At 38.3% G+C, this 12,781-nt stretch overlaps 1 protein-coding gene across 4 annotated transcripts in view; it reads right to left on the minus strand.

Moving 5' to 3' along the window:
- ARHGAP6 (Rho GTPase activating protein 6) overlaps positions 1–12,781 on the minus strand; it is a 528,377-nt gene that overhangs the window by 141,666 nt on the left and 373,930 nt on the right. Inside the window, exon 2 of one of the 4 annotated variants that reach the window (NR_109776.2) lies at positions 11,174–11,269. The exons of the other annotated variants lie outside the window; for them this stretch is intronic. The gene's annotated coding sequence lies outside the window, so the exon portion shown is untranslated. The remainder of the gene's footprint in view (positions 1–11,173; positions 11,270–12,781) is intronic. 4 annotated transcript variants of the gene reach the window in all.

The raw sequence follows: 12,781 nt of genomic DNA on the forward strand, positions 1-12,781 counted from the left end.
AATCAACCCAACAAAGCTCCTAACAGATAAATTTTTCTACTTAATAATATCAAAAACAATACAGCTGCTTTAGCACTGAATATATTTTATTATTTAAGATAAAAGCATTCAACACACTATTGAAAGTTTAATAACTTCATATTAACAAGAGTAATACAATAAAATATTTCCCCACAGTGATTTATCCTGTTCCTAAAAATGCCTAATTCTGCTGCCAAAGTCTATTTTCCACAAATTCTAGTTTCCAAATGTTAACTTGAGAAGGAACAGAGAGAGACAACCAAATGCCATTGTCTTCCATCATAGCACTTAATGTTTTCTCCACATTTCCATTTCCCATTGCCTGTGTTCCAAGAGTTATGAGCCCCTTGTCCTTTGATGTTTTTTCAGATATGCATTATCCTCATCCTTTTTCCAGGATACACAATGGGACCCCTTCTTCCACCCCTCCATTTTTTTTTAATAATAATAAAGATTATGACTAATAAACCTAACAACTTTCGACACTTATTTTTTTGCCAAAGACTATGCCAAGTGCATCACATTAATAATCTCATTTAATCTCAACAACAACCAATTGAGGTAAATATTACTATTAATATCTATATTTAACAGATGAGCCAAATGAGGCAGAGAACTTAGGTACTTTGTCCTAGGTCACATAAAAAGTGGCTGAGCCAGAATCTGAACATAATCTGATTTAGAGCTGGGGTCTTCTATAAGCACTAGCTTAGTAGTCCTCTACTGGGGTGATTCTGCCCCTCAAGGGACATTTGCCATTGCCTGGAGACATTTTTGGTTGTCACAACTGAGGAGGAAAGTGCCAGTTGTGATGGGTGGAGTCCAGGGATGCTTCTCAACATCCTACAGTGCACAGAACGGCCCCCACAGCAAAGAATGATCCCACCCTAAATGTCAACAGTTCCAAGGTTGGGAAACACTGCTCTAACCTAATGTCTCCCAATGTCAGCTCATTCTGAATGGGACATTTTTTGGTAAGACATGCAAATGGCTCTCACCTCCAGGTTAGAATCTTCTTTCTCTACTTGGGAAAGGAGGTTATCTCAATCTGGAGTGGATGGTACTTAGAGCCACAGAGTCCATTTGGTGTATATTATCATAGCATCAATGTACTCAAAAGTTTAAGCTGGCATCCTGGGACACTAGGTCATTTTATCTTTTTGTCCCTCAGTGGATACATGAAAGAGGCACTAGCTCACTAGAGCGTGACTGAAAAGAGCCAGAAGATTCTGGTTTTTGTTAGTCTTGCCTTGTAGTCAGGAAGACACAATAGCAGCGTCTGTGTCACAGATAATGGTAATAGCAAAGGGGTGTATCCACAATAGGTTACTTGAGGTCCAGACCTAGCTTAAAAGTCAAAATATTTAGGCCAGGCATGGTGGCTCACATCTGGAATCCCAGCACTTTGGGAGGCTGAGATGGGAGGACTGCTTGAGTCCAGGATTTCGAGGCTGCAGTCAAGACATGATTGTACCACTGCACTCCAGCCTGGGCGACAGAGCAAGACCTTGTCTCAAAAAAAAAAAAAAAAAAAATCAAAATTTTTTTCGGAGCAGTTCTGTGAATACCATTTGACCCAGCAATTCTAATATCTACTTTATAGCAATACTTGCAAAATGTGCAAGATACATTTGCAAAGACATTCACTTCAGTACAATATCTGATAGCAAAAAAACCCAGTCACCAATAAAAACAACGGAAATGTGAGCATATGTTCACCAAAATATGTGTGCTAGAATGTTCATAGCAGCATTATTCAAAACAGCCCCGAACTGTAAATTATCCAAATGTTCGTGAAAGTAGACTGAATAAATTGTGGTATATCACATAATGGAAAACTATGCAGTAATGGGAATGAAAAAACAAACTCCAACCACCTACAACAATACAGATGAATCCCAGAGACATCACGTTGAGCGAAAGAAGTCTGACATAAAAAATAACATGCTGTAGGATACCAGTAATGTAATCTATAAAACCAGATAAAACCAATATATGCTACAAAAATACAGAATAGGGGTTACCTTTGGGGAGAAGTGACTGGAAGGGAGTCCAAGGGATCCCTGTGAGGTGCTGGTCAGGGATGGTTCTCCATCTGGCACAGGTGTGTTCACTTTGCAGAAATTCATTAAGTTGTAAACTTATGTGCACTTCTCTACATGTGTATTATAATCTACCAAAATATATATATTAATACTTATATATAATTAATTTTATTATATATTAGTTATATGCATATATGTTTAAAGAAACATAAAAAACCTAAGTGTCCATCAGTGAGCAACTGGCTAACTAAACTACGGGGTATCTATTCAGTGGAATTCTGGGCAGTCATGAAAAAAAGTGGAGTAGTTCTCTCTGAATAAATTTGGAAAGATATCCACTATATGTAAAGTTAAACAAAGAAGTTGCAGAACACAAGTTATGGACATAAATGTTTATTATAATTTAACAGGGAGATCTGGGGTTATATATTCTCAAATGGTTATTAGTGGCCATCACTGGAGGATGGGATTTGTGGGACTTTGACACTGCCTAATGAATTTTTATAGTGTTGGAATTTATTTACATGTATTATGTTTGTACTGAGGGGAAAAAAGGACATTTAGAAAATTAAGATGAACAAAATATATCTTAAGTTTGAGATTGTTATTATTTCATCATCCATGAAGATTAGGGTTTCTGATAGATGAAGGAAACGATAATGGAATAAACAGAGTGTCTTGCCTTCAGGGTTGCTAACTGAACCCATTGATGGAGGTCACTTTGGTTTGTTGCTGGCAATGTTAACAATTGCTTCAAATTAGCACTTCTTTGCTGGGTTGCTCTACATTCAAATCCAGTTGTGGTGTGGCCACCACAAACAAGATTCTTGGCCACACAAAGAATGTGTCTACAAAATGGTAAAACAACTGAATTTGTTTAAATTAACAAAACCATATACTCAGAGGAAGGAAAAATCAAAACAGCTACACCCAAAGTAATTCACTCGGATGGGTGGTTCATGAAATGCACCCATTCATTAAATCAACATGTTAGCAGCCTCAAGTGGACTCTGTGAGAGACTCAACTGCAATGCAATATTCCTGAATAAATCAAGAGACCATAAAAGACACTTTTTTTTGGCCCATCATTAGCAAACGTTTTCTGAGTGCTCACTGTGGTTCTGCCATCCTGCTAAAACTCTGGGGATGTGATACCACCTTTATAATTGCAAATGTCATTATGTTGAGTGTTCTTAATTCCACCAATGACATTGAATGGAAATTAGAAAAACATCCACTGATTCAGGCAAAGTTGATAAAACTACAACTTCTCATATACAGTAAAGGTCTGGCAGATGTAACAATTTATAAGGTAGAATAAGTTGTGTTCAATGGATCTCAACCATGGCTACACATTATATTTGATCGAAACAGAATTTCTGGAGGTGGCACCTGGCCATCGATATTTATAAAAGCTTCCCCAGGGGATTCAAAAACATAGCAAGAGTTGGAGCCAATGCTTAGACCAAGTAAATCAGAAACTAGGTAGAATGGAACCCAGGCAAAAATATTATTTAAAAGCTACACGAATGGTTCAAAAATATAGTCTATGTTGAGAAACACTGCTTCTAAATTGATGTTATAAATGAAGCCAGAGGCGACACTTCAGTAAGCATTATGTAAAGAGACTCAATACCACCTGTCCTTATCTTGTGCAGTTTTGTTAGCAAATTATCACAAGGTAGTATTCTACCATGTTATGGTTTCAGACGTTTCATGTAAATTATATCTATATCTCCATGTGCTCTATTTACAACATTTCATTTGATTCCAACAACAATCCTATACAGAATGTAATATTATCCCCATTTTACACAGGAGGGTAATAAGGCTTGACAGAGATTCAGCATCAATCCCTCAGTTTCACAAAGTCAAGATTCCACAGTCTATATAGTCATATCGTGCTCTATGTGCCTGAAAGCAGTGTACCAATCAAAGAATGTTTTCTAAGTATCTATTATGAGCTAAATTCTCTTCTAGGCACTGAGGAGATGGAGAATAACTATAAGATAGGGTCTTCTGTAGGATACAGCTTACAGTCTAGCTGAGAAGCTAGTATCACATGGCCAAGTTTGGAGGATTTTGCAGGAAGATTTCTGAATTGGTAGGAGATTGGTCCTGACTGGATTCCTTCCAAGATTTTTCTCTATGACACAAATTTTGCTGGAGAATAAAGGTAAAATTATTTGTGTAGGAAGCAGAATAATGCCCCCCAAAATATGTCCACATCCAAATCTCAAGAATATGTGAATATGTTATGCTACCTGGCAAAGAGGAGTTAAAGTTGCAGATGGGATTAATGTTGCTAATCATATGCTGTTAAAATAAGGAGATTGTCCTGAATTATGTATATGGGACTAATATCATCACAGGAGCAACTTAAATGTGGAACAGGGAGGCAGAAGGGTCAGTGTCAGAGTGATGTGATATGAGAAAGACTCACCAGGCCATTTCTGGCTTTGAAGATGGAGGAAGGAAACATGAGCCAAGGAATGTGGGCAGCCTCTAGAAAATGGAAAAGTCAAGAAAAATGATTCTCCCCTACAGTCACCAGGTACCATGATTTTAGCCCAGTGAGACCCATTTCAGACTTCTGACCTCTGGAAGTGTAAGATAATAAATTTGTGTTGTTTTAAGCGACTAAGTTTGTGATTATTTATTATAGCAGCAACAGGGAACCAATACAATGTCTTCCCAATTTTTGAAGAGGGAAATAGAAGGCTCAAAAAGGAGAAATTTTGTAGTTTTTACCCAAGCTATCATATCTGTAGTCCCAAATCTTGATCCCTTTCTCAGGCCTACTAAATGAGAATCTGCCTTTCAACAAGGTCCTGGCCTAGTCATGTGATTTCTAGCAAGCTCCCAGGTGCTGGTGGTCCCCAACAGTTCTCCGATTTAAGCATTAAAGTTCATCAGAATCATGGGGAAGCTTGTTAAAATAACACAGATTGCTGGGCCCTACCCCAAAAGTTTCAGATTCAGTAGGTGTGGGAGGGGGCTGACAATGTGCATTTCTAACAAGTTCCCAGGTGATACCAATGCTGCTGGTCCAGCCACCACATTTTGAGAGCCATTGCTTTAGATGACACTAATAAACATGTAAGAGGAAAGAAGTGGCACTTATCATTCAACTAATATCCATGATAGGACCTCATTATTAACTGACATTTTATAGCAGGTGAGTGATCTGTTTAACAGTCTGTACTTTATGTACTTGCTCTGTGAAAAAGGCACCACATAGCCCCAGGGTTTTGGGCAACACTTGTGGGCAAAAATAGCCACATCTTTGGAACACCAAAGTATCAAATCCATAGATGTATTTCCCCAAATCCCAAAAACACATTTTCATGTGTATCTATATTTTCTCCTTGCAGCATTCCATATGGCACAACTGGCAACTGTGGATATTGACATGCTCCACATCTCATAAGACAACCTGAGGCACTGGGAATTTCCTTGAACAAGATTTCCCAACTTCAATGCTACTGACATTTGGGGTTGGATAATTCTTTATTTGGGGGGCTTTCCTGTGCATTGTAGAATATTTAACAGCATCTCTGGCCTCTACCCACTAGATGCCAGGAACATCCGTATCCTCCAATTGTGACAACCAAAAATGCTTCCAAATATTATAAAATGTACCCTGAAGGGCACAATCATTCCTGGTTGAGGCCCACTAGTTTATCTGATTCTCATGCATATTTTTATGTAGATATAATAGATCTGGAAAGAGATTATTGAGTCCCACAGCACACCTTGGACAGGACATAAGATTCCTGAGTTGCTGTTTGGTCAGATAATGAATTCGAGCTGATCCATATCATGTTGAGCCTTCTGTAAGCTACTGAGTGGGGAACAGATCTTTCCAGATGAACAACCACACAGATTGTTTTTTTTTTTTTTTTCCAAACATTTTGCTCTTACTCAATTTTACAGCCGATCTGTGAGACCCAAACTCCCTCAGATGTTCTGTCTATTCCCCATCCTAAATGTCAGGATGGGAGAACAGGTTAAAGGGGAAAATCTTAAAAATATGCATATTTAAAATTTTAAAAACATCTTTGGAACATGTATTTTAAAATAAATGTAAGTCAGCTTGAGTTTAAGGGCCTCAGTAATATCCCTGATAAAAACAAGAGCTACATTCTGTAATTGCTATAGTCCATGATAAATAAAAAGGAAATATACATTTTGTACTTACAGAGAAGCCACTGTATAATGACAACCTACTTGTAAACACAATCTGGGTTTACTAACTTGCATCTGATAACAATGCCATACACAGGGCATCAAGTCCTAGAGGGTCAAGGCTGCGCAGTCTAAGGCAGTTTGAGAGAACACTTCCTTTAAACTGAGAACAACAAAGATACCAGTTATTACCTCAATCACTTTGTGATTCCCACTCTGAGCAGGACAGATCCTAAGAACTAGAAAGGACCACAGTCATGATTTCTTTAGCCCGTTTATTTACAAATGGATTTACCAGGGAGGATGACAGCTTCCTTCACTTACACAATTCTGAAAAGAAAAGAGGTCACACTTATATTTTCTGAAATGTACATATTTCTAAAGTCCACAAGCTTCCTCTTTTTAGTCCATTCCTGAGACTAAATTAGATTAGTAGGGTATGATCAAATTGTGATTGCCCACTTGTTTTCGTTAGCTACGGTATAAATCAAATTTCATGCTTCCTTTTGCTGCTCAAGGGGTGTTTATAGTCTGCAGAGTAATGTTAAAGCTGACTTAAGTAAGGCTCTTTGAGAACCATTAATTCTTACTGTTGTAACATAAAACAGCCCAAATCCAAATTTAGACACTTTTTGAATTATTGACACCATGATTCCAGTCCTTTATAAGGAAGGTAAAGACCACTGGCATATACTATTGAATTTTATTTTAAAATAACAATTTCTATCTTTTAAAATGTCTTTTTATTTCCATAGGTTTTTGGGGAACAGGTGATATTTGGTTACATGAATAAGTTCTTTAGTGGTGATTTGTGAGATTTTGGTGCACCCATCACCCTCTATCTTTTTTAGTGACCGAAAAAATGAGTGTTTTTCCCCACCAGCTATTGTTTGAACAATAACTTCATCTAAATAACAGTTGTGCCTCTTGCCCCTAGTCATCTCTTTCCTATTTGCTAAAATGAATCACAGAGTTTTGGAACTTGGGGTACAAACTTTGGACCTTCACAGACCCTGAAATAGTTGTCTTTCCACAACAGCACCCTGGGTCCAGGCACCCACCTCACTTTATACACCCCTACACCCAGCTCAGTTCTTAGGTAACTGTAAATCTGTGGGTTTCAACTAGGGGCGAATTTGCCCCCTCACTCCCCCATCAAACATATGCGATGTCCGGAGACACTTTTGGTTAGTCACAACTTAAGAGCGAGGGTTGTTGCTGCTAACACCTAGAAGGTAGAGGCCAGGGATGCTGCTAAACATCCCTCAGCAAATAATTATCTGGCCCCAAATGCCAAGAGTGCTAACACCGACAAACCTTTTTGTAGAGGTTCTCAGAGACACATTTTCCAACCATATGTTGTATGACTCTATTTCTATGAAATGTACCAAATAAGCAAATCCATAGACACAGGAAATAGATTGGTAGTTGTCTTGTGCTAAGGGGAGGAGAATGGGAATTCACTGTTACTGGGTATGGGATTTCTTTTCAGGTGATGAAAATGTTCTAGAACTAGACTATGGTGATGGTGGCAAACTTTGTAAATACATTAAAAATATACTAAAACCCACTCAAGTGTACCCTTTCAACACATGAACTTTATAGCATATAATTATGTATTAAGTTATTAAATCCGTTTTTATAGACCTTTCATTAAATAGCTTTTATTTCTTACTAAACAAGAGCTTATATTGTAGAGCAGTTTTGAATAGCTGTAGGTTTCTCTGGAGAATATTCTCTGGTAACAGTTTTTGAATGCAACCCTATATTTCACAGGAAAAACATTATGTTCTGTATTTTTAAAGACTTATCTATTTCCAGTTGTTCTTATAATGTTATCATTTGATCTGGGGCCCCAAGGTATGCCTCATTCATCTGTGAGCAAGTGGGTGAAGAGTGTCTGAGCCAGGGCCAGAGCCCAGGGGTCTTGCGTCTGCTCTGACTCTCAATGTGATGTGAAGACAGCCAAGTCATCTGATTGCTTTGTGTTTCTACCTTCTCATTCTTGACACAAGTCTGAGCTTCCAGACGAACTTTCTTGTAGAAACCCTAGCAAGCAAGGACAGTGGATACAAATGCTCAGTGCTTTGCCACTGCAGAGGGGACACAAGTGGATTTCCCTGTCCAACATTCAGGGTCTCTCTGTTCCCAACAGCCCATCTGCCATTGCCCTTTTTCTACCTAAAACCTCTGCTGCTGCCTAGCTGGTCTTTTTCTGCACACCAAGCATGCTCTGCCCATTCCCGTTTCTCTTTCTTCCAATGACTCAGCCCTGTGAGGAAATAGCCTCTATGTCTATCCAAATCCTTCACATCTCCAAAGCCTGAAGCCCCTGGCACACAATGAACAATAGAATTATTTTAGGCAAGGAATTCTACATTTAATTGCTAAGATCATGGAAGCATGAGAAGATGTCACCTTTTGGCCTTCAGCTCCTCTTATGCCCTCCACCTTGCACCACACCAGCAGTGCTGGGTTCCTGCCAGCTAGCTAACACACTGGGCCACTTCCATGCTGGTGCCTTTGTGCTGATCCCAGAGATGCTCAGGCGAACACCTCACCTTCTTCAAGAAATTGTTTAAAACTGACCACCCTATTGAAACGTGCAACTCAGCACGTCTAATCCTTCTTAGCTGCTCTACTTTTTCCTTTTCCATAGGCTTTCTCTTCTGCTGTCCTTATTTATTATATCCATTGTTCATAGTTGCTTTCTGTGAGACTGTGAGTAGGAGTCTTTGTGTGTTTTAATCACTGATGTAAAACATAAACCCAGAATATACCCGGCATGCGGGAGGTGACCAATAAACATTTAAACATGTTAAATGCTTAGAACCATGGCTGGCAATAAAGGTTAGTTTCATCTTCATCATAGTCGTCATCATCAACTTTATCATCGTGGGGCAACACTTACACTATTGTTCTGTACCATTACACCGTGTTTAGCCTTTTAATCTATATTTTACATAATGTATAAAGGCTGTACATTTTTTGAGGGCCGATATCATACCATATATAATATGTGTCCTTTTAAAAATTAAGATATAATTCACATACCATAAGATTCACCACTTTAAAGTGTACAATTGAGTGGCTTTTAGTATATTCACAAGATTGTGCAACCATCACCACTGTCTAACTCCAGAACATTTCTATCATCACAAAAAGAAACCTGGGGCTCATTAGCAGTAACTCCCCATTTCCCCCTTCCCTCAACCCCTGGCAACCATGAATCTACTTTCTGTTTCTATGGATTTTGCCTATTCTTGGCATTTCCTATACAGTCATACAGTATATGGTATTTTATGACTGGCTTCCTTCACTGAATGTAATGTTTTCAAGGTTCATCCATGTTGCTGTATGGATCAGTGCTTCATTCCATTTTATGGCTGAACAATATTTTAAAAAACTACTAATCTATGTATGTCTCCACTGAACCTCAGCAGGAAAGTTGAACTTACTTTGGTATATTTTACCCAATAAACAGGAATAAAAATGCTTGTTTTTACATTACTGTCCTACCTCTTTTAACACAGATGTACCATTTTCACTCCTGACAGTTACCAGTTAATTATAATCCAAACAACACACTCTTCAACTGCATATAATTTCCCTTGTTGAAAATTGTTCCACCTGATATTTAGCAAATGCCTACGGACTTTTCAAATTACAAGCTGTATGAACTCTTGCTGTGAATGTTTATATTATTAAAATATTTCCTACTCATGATTTAAAAGGGCTCTCTCACTTTAAAAAATCGTGTGTTTTTTTTTGTCTTGGATTTTATGTTGAACCTTTTTTCCCCCTAAGAATGAACATTGGATATACCCAGGGCCTATGCAAGTAGCACTATCACTTACTCATCTCTCTTGCTGAACATGAGTGAGAAATATCATACTCCAAACTTCTCGTATTTCCCCTGCATTTGTTGCATTCACAGATTATTTAAAAGAAATAAATTTAAACCTCGGCTACCCAGAGATTTTCAAGGAGTCCCTAGATAACTACTGTGTTTTGGCGAATATCTCCCCAAATGGAGAGAAGGGAGAGCAGGGAGGGAGGGAGAAAAAAATTAGAGAAGGGGACTTTAAAAAATCTATTTTTCCACTTAACAATGTATCACCAACATCTTTTTATGTTGACAAACGCAGAGTGACATCCTCATCTTGAATGCTATTTGTGCCATAATCGATTTGAACCAGCCCCGCTATTGGTAGACATTTTGTTTTAAATGTTACTTCATAGGCCAGGCGCAGTGGCTCATGCCTGTAATCCCAGCACTTTGGGAGGCCGAGGCAGGCAGATCATGAGGTCAGGAGATGGAGACCATCCTGGACAACATGGTGAAACCCCGTCTCTACTAAAAATATAAAAATAAGCTGGGCATGGTGGCATGTGCCTGTAATCCCAGCTACTTGGGAGGCTGAGGCAGGAGAGTCACTTAAACCCGGGAGGCAGAGATTGCAGCGAGCCGAGACTGTACCACTTCACTCCAGCCTGGGCGACAGAGCGAGACTCTGTCTCAAAAACAACAACAAAAAATTATCTATCATAGTGTATTTGTTTGGAGTATATTATAATTTGAACTAAGAGGTCAGAGCCAAATGTAATGAGACTGTTAGGATAATAGATTCTAGCGCTTTTACAGCATCTCCCTTTTCAGATACTTATCAGAGGTCATTTGCACAGAAGTCCACAGGAGCAGTTGAGAGCAATGCTGAATTATCCATCTTAGCTATTGAAAAGGTCCATCTAAATCACTGTAGGATTTCTTTCAGAATCCACATTTTCTATGTTTACAATGTCATGGAAAACTTTTCTACATTTTCATTAATTCATCAACACATTTATCTAGCACCTACTTTGTATAAGAGCTTTTTCTAGGTACCAAGGAGCTCCCAAGAAAGTATAAGACACAATACCTGATTTCTAAGGGTTGCGGTGGGGTCAAAGTTACGATGTGTATCGGAATTCATCGGTGGTTTTGTGCCTAAGATCTGAAGATCATACAACTCCAACTCTACCCCAGCAAAAAAAAAAAAAAAAAAGCTATCCTAGAGAATGATGTTTTCTTGTAAGTAAACATCTACAGAGAAAATATTTAAAAGCCAGCTTTGGCTCCAGCTACTTAAGAAGACTCACTGTTGAAATTATTCCAGAATATTGGATAACCCTGGGGATGCTTTAAAAGAAGGCTCAAGAGTTGAACTCTTACAGATGATAGGAAAGGCTTTGCAAACTCATAATACCTGACTTATCCAAAGGCCACCCTCATACCCCGAGTGCTGTTGAAACCCAGGCAGTAAGCCAGTGGAGAGGAACCCCAAAACAAACCAAACACCCTCCCAGCAGTCAAAAATAAGTGTCACAAAACCGAAATTCATTTGCTTTTCTCACAGGCGAGGCCCTCCCAGGCCAGCCCCACTTAGAGTGTTCCTTTACTTTCAGTTCACGCATACTTTTAACAAGCTTGGGCATATGATTTTCTAGCATACTGTAAATTAGAAGCAGCAAATTAGAAGTGGGGAAGTTGCTAACATAAGCATTGTGAGAACAGCAAAACGTACTGGGCTGCAAGTCAAGAAAAAGAATACCTACTACAAAAAAATGAGCAAAAGAACTATTTTATGCAGTCAATTTATTCATAAATAAAATAATTGCTTATAGGAAAAATATTTCAATTGAAATTTCATTTTCCTCAAAACATTTACCAATTTTTAAGCTGTGTAAGTGGGGCCTAAATTAGTGGAAGAGATTTCAAACAGAGATCCATATTTTAATGTCCTATGATTCAGGATATGCAGTAGGGGAAAATCAATTATTTCTATGGAATCGGCCATCAAAGCTTGTTCAACTGTCCATGGTGAATTAGCGGTAACTCACTATCCAGTGGTCCAGAGGAATTAATGCCACATTAAGGCAGCATCCTGTTGATCATTATGGCCAAATATATCATCCTCTCATTCTTAGAAGGTGAGAAAAAGTATAAGATCAATCTTTCTAAAACTACAAGGCTACTAGTAATTCATCATTGACTTCATTAGTAGAGATTACCCACAACTTTGTAGAAAAAAAAAATATCCTGAATCCTTTCAGACACTCCAATATATGTAATTATATAAAATGGGGGAAAAAGATTGAAAGTGAATAAAATGTGATCCACATTTTCCTTCCTCTCCCTTACCACCTTGCTGTACACCCCTGCCAATCCTCCTAAGGTCCATTTTCCAACTTCCTTCAAAGGGAATCCTTCTTGTCTCTGCTATAAAATTCACCAATAAATATATTCATAAATAAAGCCAAATCCTGGGGACATTTGGCTTTTAGAATCATATTCTATGTTTCTTTTCATGCATACATTTTACCTGTTATAATCTTCTACTTCCTTCTTTGCAATCTCTCTCTCCCTGATTGGAAGGTCTTACCTTTCTTTGCAATATTCATCCCTACTGATTTATCCCCAAAGATCATCTTGGAATCTTGTTTATTAGCATTCTTTAAACATTTACTGTATGCCAGCTGACAGGGTT

Source organism: Homo sapiens, chromosome X, assembly GCF_000001405.40.
Source record: "Homo sapiens chromosome X, GRCh38.p14 Primary Assembly".
NCBI lineage: Eukaryota > Metazoa > Chordata > Mammalia > Primates > Hominidae > Homo > Homo sapiens.